The following is a 16,087-nucleotide window of genomic DNA, read 5'->3' on the forward strand; positions in this document are numbered from 1 at the left end:
AGGCAAATGGTGCATTACAGTCATTTGTCAAAAGTTGCATAATCATTAGAAGACAGAAACTTTCATTAACGCTAAATTATTATAAAAACTAGCATGGATTCTATTATGCCATAGAATATATAATTATATGGGTTGGCACATTATATAATTTAATCTTGGAGAAGAAACAGACATCTCAAAATAGTTGACTTTACACAGCCTGCTATTATTTTTGAGTCCCCAGGCAGCATACTCTGAAGAATTTCCAATAATCTTAATAAATTATATGAAATCCTAATCTTAAAGTCTTAATCTTAAATATAAAATTAGAGTAATTGTTAGTAATTTGTAATAGCCATGCAAAAAAATGAGTTATTCGGCCGGGTGCAGTGGCTCACGCCTGTAATCCCAGCACTTTGGGAGGCCGAGGTGGGCAGATCACAAAGTCAAGAGATCGAGACCATCCTGGCCAACATGATGCAACCCCATCTCTACTAAAAATACAAAAATTAGCTGGGCGTGGTGGTGCACCTGTAATCCCAGCTACTCAGGAGGCTGAGGTAGGAGAATCACTTGAACCCGGGAGGCGGATGTTGCGCTGAGCCGAGGTTGCGCCACTGCACTCCAGCCTGGTGACATAGCGAGATTCCATCTCAAAAAAAAAAAAAAAAAAAAAGAGTTATTCTGTAGGTACGTCTAATCTAATAACATCAATGATATCAGAAATTATAAGAATGACTACAAAGAGTTTGCACCTATGGGGGGCTTTTGATAAGAAAAAGTATACATGAAGAGATGGATTGGATATTAAAGACTTAGTAGGAGCAGTGTGAGGACAGTTTAGCAGGGCCAGAAGCAGGGAGGAACACTTAAGTCCCTATAGAGTTAAGATGGGTTACACCGTTTAATAACAAACATCCCATAATGTCCACGGCTTAGTACAACAAAAATTTATTTCTCACTTAATGCTATGTGCACAAAATTCATCAATGAGGGTTTATACTTCATATTCACTTAAGAACCAAGGCTGACAGAGGTTCTGCTATTTTGTGGATACACCATAAAGTACTGGTGACCTACCCCCAGTCCCCCACAATCCCATCACCCTACAAAGTGGCTAGAAAAATAGAGGAGTACTTGGTTATTTGACAAGCATTAAGTATCTCTGTAACTATTCCCAGCTATTAGTGTTTCTGTACCACAAAATGACTTAATGTTTTGGAAGAGTCACAAAATAGAAACATCCACTATCTCTAAGGCCAAATTCATTTTACTCTATGCTAAACTTCTATTAAGTAATAAAAGGCAGTAGGTGGGCATTAATCCACACTTTTGCCTCTTAGGCAAATTGCTCTTTTTCTCTTCCTTCTCTCACACTTTTACTGCTGTGCATTTCTTTAAACATTAGTCATTTTTTGGCCCAAGCCTGGATACACTGTAATACTTTCCTAGCACCTACTTAACCTACTCTTCTTTTGTTGTTAATTTCATTAATTTTGCCTTAACCTCAGTTGTTAAACATTTCATTCTACCCACATAATTCACATAATAATTCTCATACTACTTGGGAGACAAAGTCAGTCAAATAAATTCACTTGTCGTTACCAAAAGAGATCATAGGAAATTTCATCCACGGAAGTCTAGGAATCTCTTTACACAGACAAGAGGCTATCCCAAGGGATCCAGGAGCCTTGCTAAGAAGTTTTATATAGAGACAACCTGAGTGGGATAGGAAAAAATCATGGTCTTCAGATTCGGACAGACTGAGTTTGAGTTCCTGCTCCTTCACTTAGTGGTTGTATAACTGTGGGCAAGTTAATTAACCTCTCCGAACTTCAGTTTCCTCCTCTCTAAAATGAAACTATGAATACAGGAATCAGAGAGAAGGTTTGTAAGGTATCTAGCATATAAGAAGTCTTAACCGAAAGAATTATTATTACTACTGTACATGGACTGAGCAATAAACAGAAAGGCAATGTAAACTGACACAGAAGGAGAGGAGTTTCTACTTATAGATTAAATAAAGGGCATGGTGCTTCAAATACTCAATGAACTCAAATATCAAAATTTTCCAAAACTCTTCTCAAAAATTTCTAGAAAGCAATATCAAAGAAATATAAATTATTTAAAGAGAAGGTTGACTATTTTATACATTGCAATTATCATAAGATTTATGTAATAAAAATTTACATGAAGCAAGTCAGAGGGAAATGGTTTTTTCATTGGGTTAACAACCACATTTTGCCTCTTTCCTAGGCATCAACTCTAATCAGTAAACTACAAAAGAATAGGGTCCATAAGTGCTTTTGCATGTCATTTTTTTTCATTACTGGCACATACAGAGCATTCAATAAATATTTGTTAATGAACAAATGGATGCCAGCTATTATCTCTGGAATTGATCGTTTTCGTTTCAAGGAAGTTGCCTAATATATTCTTTGATGATAGTTTGACAGTTTGACACTAGCCATTTCTGTGACTTGTGACATAAATAATGGGGGATGGGGGAGAATGACCAACTGTGATGGTTAGTTTTATGGATCAATTTGGCTATGCTATAGTACTCACTTATTTAATCAAACACTAACCTAGATGTTACTGTGAAGTGTTGTGTAGATGTTGTTAATGTCTACAATTAGCTAACTTTAAGTAAAAGAGATTAACTTTTAATAATGTGAGTGGATCTTATCCCATGAGTTGAAGGCCTTAAGAGCAAAAACTGAGGGTCCTGGATGAGAAGAAATTCTGCCTTAAGACTGCAGCATCACCTGCTGTGTGAGTTTCCAGCCTGCCAGCCTGCCCTACAGATTTCAGACTTGCCAGTCCCCACAATTGTGTGAGCCAATTTCTTAAAATAAATCATATATGTGTGTGCGTGGGTGTGTGTATGTATATGCATATGCATATGTATATGCATATATATGTATTTTATTGGTTCCGTTCCTCTGGGGAACACTGACTGATACACCAACAAAAGTGTACATTATTTGAGGCTTTAAAGTACTAGGTAGACATCAAAAGTAGAATGTACTAAATGCTATTACATGTCGCTGTAGACCATTAGTTTTAACTAAAACAATGCCTTCTTTATGTTCTTCTTTGATATCAATATAAAATTACTGATTCCAGCCAACATCTATCACCATTAATGTCCATGTCCCTTGAATCTCTTTGCATAATAATGTATACATTTCTCAGAATCAAAACCAAATATCATTGAATCCAATTAAAAGGGGGATCTAAAAGAATTATTTTACATATTATCTATAATATCAACAGCAAGGAGGCCTAGAATAATACAAAATACACTTATGCTATTTTAGTGCTTATGTAATAAAAAGATATCATAATTCTGTACTCCATACCTATTAATCTGTAGTTCCAACTTTTAGCATATGCCTAAGCAAGAGAAATAAAGAACTAACCAAATCCAGGCCAAGGAAGGATTTAACCAGAAATATTCAAAAGGGCCATAAATATTAATATACCAGATACTATTTAAAACCTGTTTATATCACCAGAATAGAAAATGTCAGTGTTAACATACAAAACTAGAATAGGCATACCAATGTAATGTTGGTGATATGATGATATTGGTGTCAATGATATTGACAAATACAATATAAATTTATGTAATGTGAGACACTTGGACCATGTTACAAAAATGCAAATGTTATTGTCTTGCACATGTCAATCGGAAAAAGGGAGAGAGAATCAGTGTCAAGGGTTAAAATAAAAATCGTGGAACGTAAGGCTGGCAGATTTTATTTATACTGGACATCCTGACCACTTTACACACTTACTTAGAAAAGCAAAAACCAGAAATTCCTTCTTAAATATTTTCCTTCAGTTTTCCTGAAGGAAATCTCCAGATATTTCATTTCCTCTCTCAATGACTGTCCTATTACTAAATTGCTCAATGGGAGCAATTAAGCATCAAGTTGTACATCACAAATGGAAACAACCTAGCAATCTATTTAATCAATATAAACAATCAAGCTAATTCAATCAATTTATGTGGTCAAAAAAAAATATTTTCTGTCTCCTGCTTTCCCCTGCTCTTCTTTCATTCCCACATCTATGGTCTAGTCACAGCAACAAAAGCCCATTTTACCATATATCGTTTACCTCAGTATGTCTACAGAAGAACAACAATGCCTCTAGATTCCAAATGTCCAGCTATGTCAAAACGTAGAAAGTACAGAGTCAGACTGGAGAATGGCATTATTTTACAGCTCCAGTTCAGTTTATGGTTTTCTCACAAAACCTACTAAAGTTAAAAAAGACTTAAAGTTTTTTTCTATAATTAATAAACTGGGTCAGGCACGGTGGCTCACACCTGTAATTCCAGCACTTTGGGAGGCCAAGGTGGGTGGATCATTTGAGATCAGGAGTTCGAGACCAGCTTGGCCAACATGGTGAGACCCTGTCTCTACTAAAAATACAAAAAAAAAAAAATTGACTGGGTGTAGTGGCACATGCCTGTAATCCCAGCTACTTGGGAGGCTGAGATAGGAGAATCACTTGAACCCGGGAGGCAAAGGTTGCAGTGAATCAAGACCATGCCACCACACTCCAGCCTGGATGATAAGAGTGAGAATCTGCCTCAAGAAAAATAAATACATAAAAAATAAACAAGTAAATTGATGCTTTGTCTCTCCATTTCTAATTCCTTAATTTCAATTATACCAGGGTATAACATATGTTAAAAACATATTTGGAGGATTAATAGTCATAATTTTTAAATGAATGTAATAACTGATTATATATATAATTCATTGCCTAATCATGAATAAGACTTTAATCCCATAAAAGATGTTTAATAGCAATTTTAACTACTAAGCATAAAATTAATAGTGTTAGGGGATTGAAAATTAAATTTCAAGGTAGCCAAAGCATAAATTCAAGAACTTTAGATAATTTTAAAGAGAACAAAATACTAAGATAAAAAATTGCCATGTTTATACAACTATGTGTAACAACACATTGCTATTCTATACGTTCATATAAATTCAGAATATTACTCAGAAGGGATTTTTTATAAAATATATCCTTATAAAGACAATGAAATAGCAAGAAAACAATTTTTAGCTCTAATAGAATAAATCTTATTCACAAAGGAAAACAAAGAAAGTAAGGGGAAAGGCACTGAAACTCTGAGGTACTAATTACTCTGCTTTTACATGGGGGTAAGTAAAGCAGTACAATTCTATGGTCCTTATATACACAAAGCTTCCATTAACTTTTGATGAGTCTGCCTTCATGAGAAACACAGAATTACTTTCTCATATACAATTTTTTTAATTAGTAAGAGGATCTCATAATGACACACAGTTCAGGCCCTACATTCCCATGCATGAGAATTTTCAGTGAAGTGACTTCACTTTTACTAAGGGAATGACTGAATTTTGTGCAGGATTCTCAAGACTGAATTTTGTGCAGGATTCTCAAATTCTTAATATATCAATCACATTAAAGAGCGCCCATTTTCACATATACACCATGGAATACTATGCAGCCATAAAAAAGGATGGGTTCATGTCCTTTGCAGGGACATGGATGAAGCTGGAAACCATCATTCTCAGCAAACTAACACAGGAACAGAAAACCAAACACTGCATGCTCTTACTCATAAGTGGGAGCTGAACAATGAGAACACATGGACACAGGGAGGGGAACATCATACACCGGGGCCCTGTCGAGGGGTTGGGGGCAAGGGGAGGGATAGCATTAGGAGAAATACCTAATGTAAATGACTGGTTAATGGGTGCAGCAAACCACCATGGCATGTGTATACCTATGTAACAAACCTGCATGTTCTGCACATGTATCCCAGAACTTAAAGTATAATTAAAAAAAAAAAAGAGTGCCCATTTTATTTTCAATCACTTGGATAAATGGGATTAAAGAAAATACAGTTATACTAAAGGAATTTTCTACTACTCAGTTGCCAGTAGAGTTATGCATGAAGAATTCTTATTAAGTCAAAAGAGAGCAGAATATATTTGAAAGCAGAGTTGACCCCCTTCATTCGGTTTAACGAATGGAAATACTCAAGATTCAGGTCACTATGGGCCCTTTTCCCTACTCAAAAAGAGACCCTCCCTATTAATAACCATTAGAATGCTCCACATTTTTAAGTTTGCAACATCATGGCCTCATTGCAAATTGGGTATTTAGGGAAAACTACATTTCCTTCCAAGGAAAATGTTTTAAAAATGCACAATTTCTCTATCACGCATTTTTTAAATAAGAAGAAGAGAAAATCTAACTGTTTTGCAACTAGGCTCAGGCAACTGCCCAGGCAGCCTATAGAACTGATATCAACAGTTTTATGCCTGTCAGAAAATCATTCTAAAGACTTTTTTTAATCTGAAAAATAACATCATCACTGTGGATTCCACCCTGAAATCCGAAGGCAGGAATTACATTGTGTTGTTAAAATGTTAGCAAGTGCATTTCATTTTTTTAAAAGGCAATGTAGTTTTCCTGAAATAAAGAGCTGATTATATCTCTTATTACTGTTACAAGAATTTGATATATCACAAAGTGAAAGTTACAGCATGTGTCAACTATCAACCAGGAAAAATGAACCTGATTCATAATTCACTTTGATAATGTCTAGTTAGTTAATCAAGTGATTTGTAATCATGAAGGCTGCCAGAAATTGAATGAAGAATGGGACACAGTAAAATTCTTAGGTTTTTTTTTTTTTAGTATTCTTATTTCGTTATGTGACTTTTATTGCCATTTTTGATCACTGTTTCTCAGCAGCACAAATTAAATCACACATATTTACTTAGAAGTTTTTGACTACTAAATAGACTAAGGATACACAAGTTGAATGACCAGAGTATATAATGTCTTCCTACAAAATTAAAGGTTTTAGTGTTTACAGCTTGAACAGGAAAATTTCATTCCTTCCAATCTCCTCCTCTCTCTCCCCATTTTATTTGAATTATTTAGAAAATACGCCACTCATTCTAACTCAGTATATTTCTATATATTCTAAAACAAGTAAAATCATTTAACAGAACCTAGTTAATACCAGAAACCTTAAGCTTCCTTTTAGTATCTTCATTGTAATTCCTCAGTTAAAACTATATTATAATACAATAGTCAAAGAACATTTAACCTCTAATTAATAAAATCTCAGTAAATAGACAAAATATAAAATCAACTTATAGCCTGACATATTACTAAAGGGGTAATGTGATAAATGAGTGTTTTTCAAAGTGTAAACTACTGAGCCATGTAAGAATGTGCCATTCTGACAATATTGGCCATTATAAGCTTTTTCATCAGCACTGCATGACACAGAACTACACAGCTTTAAAGTAAATTGAACTTTAAATATGATAACAAATGGGCTCCTCCTTTGATTTACTCTTCATAATTTTCAAGCAGAAGGGTCCTTTTCCAACTTTAGACTGATTATAAGACAAGATCTCCTTAGGGAAAGTAATAGAGTTCTTAAGTTCCATTATACTCATTATTGAAATCTAATATTTATTTTTTAAATTCAGCTGTATAAACTTTGTGGGTAAATTTCCAATAATAAATGCTTGGTTTTTCAAAATAACAAAATTCCAGACACACATTATACATTGACTCCAAGAAACTAGTATAATTATGGTGAGACCTTGGGAAAGATACTGTTTTCCACACTGAATATTCCCTGAAAAGCGTAGCAGCACTCCACTTGGGAATTCACGTTATCACCATTATCAGACCAACTGCTAGAATCACCTTTTCTTTCCTATTTAGCTTATTCATTCATTCATTCCACAAATGCTCATTAAGCTCCTACTCTTGCCAGGTATTATGCTAGAAATTGGGGATATAAAGATGAATTTAAAACATAGTCTTTGTACTTGCCCTTAAGAAATCTACAGTCTAGTAAGAAGAAGACATAAGTAAATAAGAACAATGAAATACAGGCTCTAGAAGAGATCTATATCTTGGAAATGTCAGTGACAGAGGTCAGTAGAGGACTTCAAAGTGTTCACCAAGCTCAATCTTGAATGAAAGTTGGTACCTATCAGGGAGCAAAGAGGAAAGACTATAATGGTAAGAACGAGAATATGAATGAAGCCAAAAGTGCAAAATACCTTATCATGGTAGGATAAATACAAGCTAGTCAGTTTAACTGGGGTTTAACATGTAAGAAGTACATGTTACATGTTGGGTGGTAAGGGAAAAGGCTGCCAGAAGCCTCTTTCAAAAACATTTCATATTGATGGTTAGGCTAGTTATAATCAGGTGATGTCATGTACTTGTAGGATAAGGATCCTCTTCCTCATAACTAAAAGTAGTTTTGACTTCAGTGAGCATCAGTCCTACAAATTTTTGACCTTGGGATTTGTTTATACTGTAAAGAAGAAAAATTGAAAGATAATAACAATTACAAAAAAAAAAAAAAAGGACACGAGCAAAGCAAGACTGTAAAGAAAATTTACTTTGACAACCTGACAATGGTGATAACTCAAGTGAAAGCAACTAGAATAAAGAGGGCCAAAGCAACATAAGTGACTGTAGCAAGTTACTTACACATACACACACATATGTATATATACTTCATGATTATATAAGATTTGGTCAAATTATAAATGTAATTAGTACAGCAAAATGAAGTTATGATTATTAAATACTATCAAATTATATTGACCCTGAACTGCAGATAGCTATGTAGATATACTACTGACTCTTGTAGTAATATTAAATATATAGAAGTCAAGCACTATGTCTCTGGAATAGCAAACTTGCAACAAGCATTAACGATGGCCACCCATTGACTGACTAAATAACCTATTTGAAAATGGAAGAGAATCTTTCCTGAAATTTCCTGATATCAGTAATACACTTTTTTTTTTTTTTTTTTTTGGAGACACAGTCTTGCTCTGTCACCCAGGCCGGAGTGCAGTGGCGTGATCTCACCTCACTGCGACCCCTGCCTCCCAGATTCAAGCAATTCTCGTGCCTCAGCTTCCCAAGTGAAGTGTTTTTAGTACAGACAGGATTTCAACATGTTGGCCAGGCTGGTTTCGAACTTCTGGCCTCAAGTGATCTCGCCTTGGCCTCCCAAAGTGCTGGGATTACAGGCATAAGCTACCACACCTGGCCTAGTAATATATTTTTAAAATAAGTATACAACATATGTGATCAATATCACTCTTTTCTAATCAGTATGTATTCAAATAAGAGTCATGAATTACAAGTTAGCTGGCATGTGTTATAAGGAATGAGAATGGAGATGACAGAAGCTACTCAAACAAATTTTAAGTATATTCACAGATAACAAATTATAACTTCCTTTATTTTTCACTGTTGTGCTGATTTCTTTGTTGTCCTTTGGGTTCAAGTAATGAAGCATCATGGTTCAACATTCCAATAATGTCTCATAAAACAAAGTTTAAGACAAACTGTTGTTTGATAATGCTGCGAAGATAAAATAACATTAACATGATCCTTCATGTATTAAGATGACACTGACTCACCATCAATAGAGATGAGCTGCAAGTTGTTGTTCCATAGTTGACATAGGCTTCCTGATCTAGCCAATTCTATTGCCAAAGCTCCCCAGTGAATGGCAGCTTACATCTGTAAGATGATTATTACCAGTGGTCACAGAAAATAACAAAATAAAATGATCTATACAGAAATAAAACCTATGCCCTTGGTCCCAAACTACCATATTCTGATAAACTTTTAAAAAGTCACAGAAATGTATAAATACTGTATGATTCTTTCATTAAAAATGATATATGTAGTTACTCTGATCAATTCATTGTAGTCTATATATTACTTACCTAAATATGCAAATAATGAAAGCCTGACCCCCTGCCTCAGAATGTTCTCAGCTATCTTAACTAAAACGAAGATTGTTTCTGACTTGCAAAATCAGAAGTATATAATGATGATGCTCAAAACATGAAAGCATGCCAACTTTATATCCCTCATCACCAGTAGCAATAACTGAGGAAATTACAGAATATTGTTGTTAATGTTAGAAATATTCTCTATACCATTAAATGTAATATGACTACAGCCAAAATTACTTTGACATTTCCTAGAATTCTGAAAAACACTTCCATTTTTTATGAAGAAAAAATATTTTAGTTACTAGCTACAGTGTTCATTCTTGTTAATACCGAGGTTTTACAATAAAATAGTTCTACTGACTCCTGATATGGAATTTTATCAGTTTCTAGTTGAATCTCCTTCATAAAGCTGAGAAGCTGATAAAATATTACTGGAAGACATTGTTTGTAAGTAAAATTAATGTTACATGCTTATTTATTATTTAGAAGAATAAGAAATTAGATTAACAACTTAAAAATTAATAAGAAGCCATTAAAACTAGATATAAGTAAAACAAAATCACAATGTTAAGTGCCTATGATGAGCAAGGCACTATTTAGAGGTTCTGTGAACAAGTATAAAAATAACAAGGCATAGTACATAACCTCAAAGAAATCACAATTTAGATATTATTGAAACATTCTTCTTTCAGTGCTCCATAGTTGTTTACAAAAACAAACAGCTAGATTCTAACCCAGATCCTCTGTTAGCACAGGAAGGATGATGTGGAAAAGTACAACATCACCTACCACGGCATGGTAGCTACCATAAGGATGCAGCTCTGGGGCTCCTCTTGCATATGGAAATAAGGAAATTTTAATAGAAATATTGAGAACATCTGCTGCAACCTGTGATGCAGGCCCACTGCCACCTGCAAACAAATAAAATTCATTAATTTTAAGACACCATATAAACATTTCCAGTCACAATTCTGTTTTAATGGGTCATGCAGCAAGCATATTCTCTTTAACAGCTTTCCATTATCATCCCCCACCAACTCACCAAAATTGGATGTCTTCCACTAGATTGCAAACTCCTAAAGTTCCTCTTCATTTTGGTTTCCAATTTCTACAACGCCTAGCCGAACAAATAACTCAGTCTAGTAAGAAATTAAGGTTAAAACTGGCTACTATAATACTCTGTAACCAGTTCTATAATAAGTTTTATAGAAAGTACTACAGATACTAAAAGGAAGGAAAAACTGGCTTTAAAGAATGAGTTGCTGCTGGACAGAGAGACAAGTACAGAAAAAGCATTCTTAGTGGAAATAAGGTAAAAAGTTAGGGAGGTACAAAAGGGCACATAATATTCTGAGAATTTCAAGTAGCTTTTTGGGAAAGCAGCAAATAAGAAGACAAAGGCAGGAGAAAGATAACGGAGATGACTTATATGCTAAAAAGCTGAACCTGTATTCTGACTAAAGGAGTGAAGACAGGAAAGTGAAGTGATCATTAAAAAGATCTTGGCAGCAGTATGAAAGATGGGAGGAAGAACAAGACTGAAGGCAATGGACTAAATCACACAAGACAAAGCTGGCTTGACCTAATGGTATATGGAGTTATGGTGACCCAACTCATCACCAATGACCATTAGGTCTGTTACCCACTAAGTCTCAAATCCAGGTACATATTTAGACAATACTACAGACACTAATTTATTTTAGAAAACTGTTTATGTAATATAATCTCAATTAAAAAGTGGCAGGAATTTGACACAGGAATATCAACATGTGAAAATATTAATAATGAGTAGTAGCATTAGAGGTCATGTTTTTCTTCTTGTCATTGATATATTCCAAATGTTCTACATAATAAAATTAAAAATAAATTCTACAACAATTTCTCGAAGCTGTGATAGCTAAAACTTGCATTAACCCTAAAGAGCCTCACCCAGGATCCCTTGACAATATAACTGAGCCCAAAGCCTTCTTCACCACCACAGCTCACTATCCCTAAAGTATTTATTCCTACATCAGGACTTTATCCCATGTTCTTTCTGCTTCTGTAGCACTCTCTGGCCCCGAATGCCCATCTAAATCTCAACTTCATCGTACTACCAGTTACACTTATCTCAAACACGCATTACCTGCTCCATACATTTTTACATCCAATCATATTTAATTTATTGAAAACCATCTTCAGGAGTTCTCCTGTTTGTTCTTCCTACAGTTTTTATATAAGAACAGACTAGTGCAAGTCAGTCCTATTCCAAAGCAAATGTTCATACATGACCCATTTATGGACATACGCACATATCATTATTCCAACGTTTTGATAAACAAACTTATGTATATAACCACTACTAAAGAGTTTTCGAATCTATCTTCAGAAAAGTTGCCTACTGCTATGGGTTGAATTGTTTCCCCCCAAAATATGTTATAGCCTTAACCTCCGACTCCTGTGAATGTGACCTTATTTGGAGACAGGATCTTTGCAAATAATCAAGACAAAATCATTAGGGTGGGCCCTAATCCAATGTGACTGGTATCCTTACAAAGAGGTAGATTTGGACACAGAGACAGACATGCACACAGGAAGAACACCATGTGAAGGCAGAGATCACAGTGATAGACTGTAAGCCACAAAATGTCAAAGATTGCCAGCAAACCACCAGAAGCTAGCAAAGAACCATGGAACAGATTCTCCCTCATACCCCTTAGAAAGAACCAACACCTTGATCTCAGACTTCTATCCTCCAGAACTGAGAGACAATAGATTTCTGTTGAGTCAGTCGCCCAGTTTGTGGTATTTTGTTATAGCCACCATAGCAAAATAACACAACTACTAAGGGAAACCATGATTTCTTTTGCTGAAAGTCACTAAAAACAAAAACATTTGTAAGATTACAAATCAAAAAAATATCTTGCTATTCATTTCTCACTCTGGTAGCAAATGTGCTATTTAATAGCTAAGCCAATCTAGTGCCAAAAACTTCTAAGAATAAACATGATTCATCCTTCATCCTATATAGTATCATTTATACAGACAGCATCACATAATCAAACATCAGAGAATGTAATCATTCTATAGATATTAGGATAAGAGAGTAAAATGAAGTTATATAAATTTTTCTTGGTAATGCGTAGAGCTGCTTCGTGAATTTTCATGCTGTGAAAATGTGATCTGACCCATAATACAACCAAAACATAGTATAATGAGTTACTTGATGAGCAATAATATTGGTATAGACCAGGAATGGGCTCTGAAGTAACACATACTTCAATTCAAATCCTTGCTCTGTCACTCACTAGTTACAGGCATATCTTGAAGATATTCCAAGTTTAATTCCAGATCACAGCAATAAAGCAAACATTGCACAAAGCAAGTCACACAAATTTTGTTTCCCAGTGCACATAAAAGTTATGTCTACACTATAATGAAGTCTATTAAATATGTAATTACATTATGTCTAAAAAACTATGTACACACCTTAATTTTAAAATACTTTATTGCTAAAAAAAAAAATGTGAATGATCATCTGAGCTTTCAGTGAGATGTAATCTTTTTGCTAGTGGAGAGTCTTGCCTTGAAGTTGATGACTGCTGACTGATCAAGGTGGTGATTGCCGAAGTTTGGGTAGCTGTGGCAATTTCTTAAAATAAGACAATAAAGTTTGCCCCATTGATTGATTCTTCCTTTAATGAAAGATTTCTCTGTGGCATGCAATGCTGTTTGATAGCATTTTTACCCACAGTAGAGCTTCTTTCAAAACTGGAGTCAATCCCTTCAAACCCTGCTGTTGCTTTATCAACTAAGTTTATATAATGTTCTAAATCTGTTATTACTTCAACAGTGTTCACAGCATCTTTACCAGGGTACATTCCATCTCAAGAAACCACTTTTTTTTCCTCATCCGTAAGAAACAACTCATCCATTCGAGTTTAATCATGTAATTGCAGCAATTCGGTCACATCTTCAGGCCCTACTTCTAATTATAGTTCTCCCTATTTCTACCACATCTGCAGTTACTTCCTCCTCCAAAGTCCTGAACCCCTCAAAGTCATCCATGAGTGTTGGAATCAACTTCTTCCAATATCTTGTCCATGTTGATATTCTGAGCTCCTCCCATGAATCACAAACGTTGTTAACGGCAGCTAGAAGGGTGAATCTTTGCTAGAAGACTTTCAATTGACTTTGCCCAGATGCATCAGAGGAATCACTACGTATGGCAGCTATAGCCTTATAAAATGTATTTCTTTTTTTTTTTTTTTTTCTGAGATGGAATCTTGCTCTATCGCCCAGGCTGGAGTGCAGTGGTGCAATCTCGGCTCACTGCAACCTCCACCCCCTGGGTTCAAGCAATTCTCCTGCCTCAGCCTCCCTAGTAACTGGGATTACAGGTGTGTGCCACCACGCCCAGCTAATTTTTTGTATTTTTAGTAGAGACAGGGTTTCACCATGTGGGCCAGGCTGGTCTCAAACTTCTGACCTCAGGTGATCCACCTGCCTCGGTCTCCCAAAGTGCTGGGATTACAGGCATGAGCCACTACTCTTAGACTCAAAATGTATTTCTTAATTAATAAAACTTGAAAGTTGAAATTACTCCTTGATCTATGGGCTATAGAACAGATGTTGTATTAGCAGACATGAAAACAATATTAATCTCCTTGTACATCTCCCTCAGAGCTCTTGGGTGACCAGGTACACTGTCAAGGAGCTGTAATAGTTTGAAAGGAATCTTTTTTCTAAGCAGCAAGTCTAAAACAGTGGGTTTAAAATATTCAATAAACTATGTGATGAACACATGTGCTGTCATCCTGACTTTGCTGTTCCGTTTAAAAAGCAAAGGCATGGAAGATTTAGCATAATTCTTAAAGGCCCTAGGATTTTTGGAATGGCAAATGAGCATTGGCTTCATCTTAAAGTCACCAGCTGGTTTAGCCTCTAACAAGAATCAGTCTGTCCTTTGAGGCTTTGAAATCAGGCATTGGACTTCTCTGCTCTAGCTATGAAAGTCCTAGATAGCATCTTCTTCCAATAGAAGGCCATTTCATCTACACTGAAAATATGTTGTTTGTTGTAACCACTTTTGTCAATGATCTTAGCTAGATCTTCTGGATAACTTGCTATTGCTTCTACAGCAACACTTGCTGTATACTTACTTATACTTTTATGTTCTGGAAACCACTTCTCTCCTTAAGCCTCATGAACCAACTTCTGCTAGCTTCAGTCATTTTCTGTGTAACTTCCTCAACCTTCACAGAATCGAAGAGAGTTAGGGCTTTGTTCTAGATTAGGCTTTCACCTAATATTGTGGCTGGTTTGATCTTCTACCCAGACCACTCACAATTTCTCTACAATAAGACTGTTTTGCTTTTTTGTTTGTGTTTTCCTTGGAATAACACTTTTAATTTCCTTCAAAAACTTCCTTTGCTTCCACAACTTGGATGTTTGACAAGAGGCCTAGCTTTTGGCCTGTGTTGGCTTTTGACATGCCTTCCTCACTAAGCTTAATCATTTCTAGCTTTTGACTTAAAGTAAAGGAGGTGTGACTCTTCCTTTCACTTGAACACTTGAAGCCCATTTTAGCGTTATTAACTGGCACAACACTTTCAATCTTATTGTGTCTCAGGGAATAGGGTGGCCCAAGGAGAGAAAGAGGAATGGCTGATCAGTGGAGCAGTCAGAATACACACATTTATCAATTAGCTTTGCTGTCTTCAACGGGCTCAATTTGTGGCACCTCAAAACAATTACATTACTAATATCGAAGATCACAGATCACCCTAACAGATACTGTAGTAATGAAAAAGTTTGAAATAGTGTGAGATTTACAAATTATGACACAGAGTCACTAAGTGACACATACTGTTGAAAAAATGGCACCAATAGACATACTCTATACAGGGTTGCCACAAACCTTCAATTTGTAAAAAACGTAGTATCTGTGAAGCACAATAAAATGAACCACAATAAAACAAAATATGCCTGTATATGACTTGAGCAAATTACTTAACCATGTTTGAGCTTCAAACTCTTCATCAATAAAATGGTAGTTTTACATTTTATAAAAACTGAAGAAATTAGATGATATATGAAATGTGCTTAACAGATATTAATAATAATAATAGGGCTTTACTATTTTTATTAAAAGGAATGTTTATAAATTAAGGATTTTTTTACACTTCTCTTGGGTAGGAAAAATAATTAAGCAAGCTCATGTAAGAACAAAAGTCTTGTTCACGTATACTGTACACAAAATATTGCCTTTGGCTAGTTCCTGACTATAAAATGTAGGACTTTCCGAA

The 16,087-nt window shown here is 35.2% G+C and overlaps 1 long non-coding RNA gene across 54 annotated transcripts in view; it reads right to left on the reverse strand.

The window, feature by feature from the left end:
• Nucleotides 1–16,087, reverse strand: part of NR2F1-AS1 (NR2F1 regulatory antisense RNA 1) — a 176,234-nt gene that overhangs the window by 134,929 nt on the left and 25,218 nt on the right. For 31 of the 54 annotated variants that reach the window (NR_186217.1, NR_186221.1, NR_186222.1 and 28 more), the window contains 2 exons: nt 10,590–10,711; nt 9,477–9,579 (listed from right to left, as the gene is read on the reverse strand). The exons of 3 other annotated variants lie outside the window; for them this stretch is intronic. This is a non-coding gene — a long non-coding RNA (NR2F1 regulatory antisense RNA 1). Of the gene's footprint in view, nt 1–510; nt 632–9,476; nt 9,580–10,589; nt 10,712–16,087 lie in introns of all 54 variants that reach the window. 20 more of the 54 variants (NR_186215.1, NR_186216.1, NR_186213.1 and 17 more) reach the window with 1 other exon arrangement.

This window comes from Homo sapiens, chromosome 5, assembly GCF_000001405.40.
Source record: "Homo sapiens chromosome 5, GRCh38.p14 Primary Assembly".
NCBI classification, from domain to species: domain Eukaryota; kingdom Metazoa; phylum Chordata; class Mammalia; order Primates; family Hominidae; genus Homo; species Homo sapiens.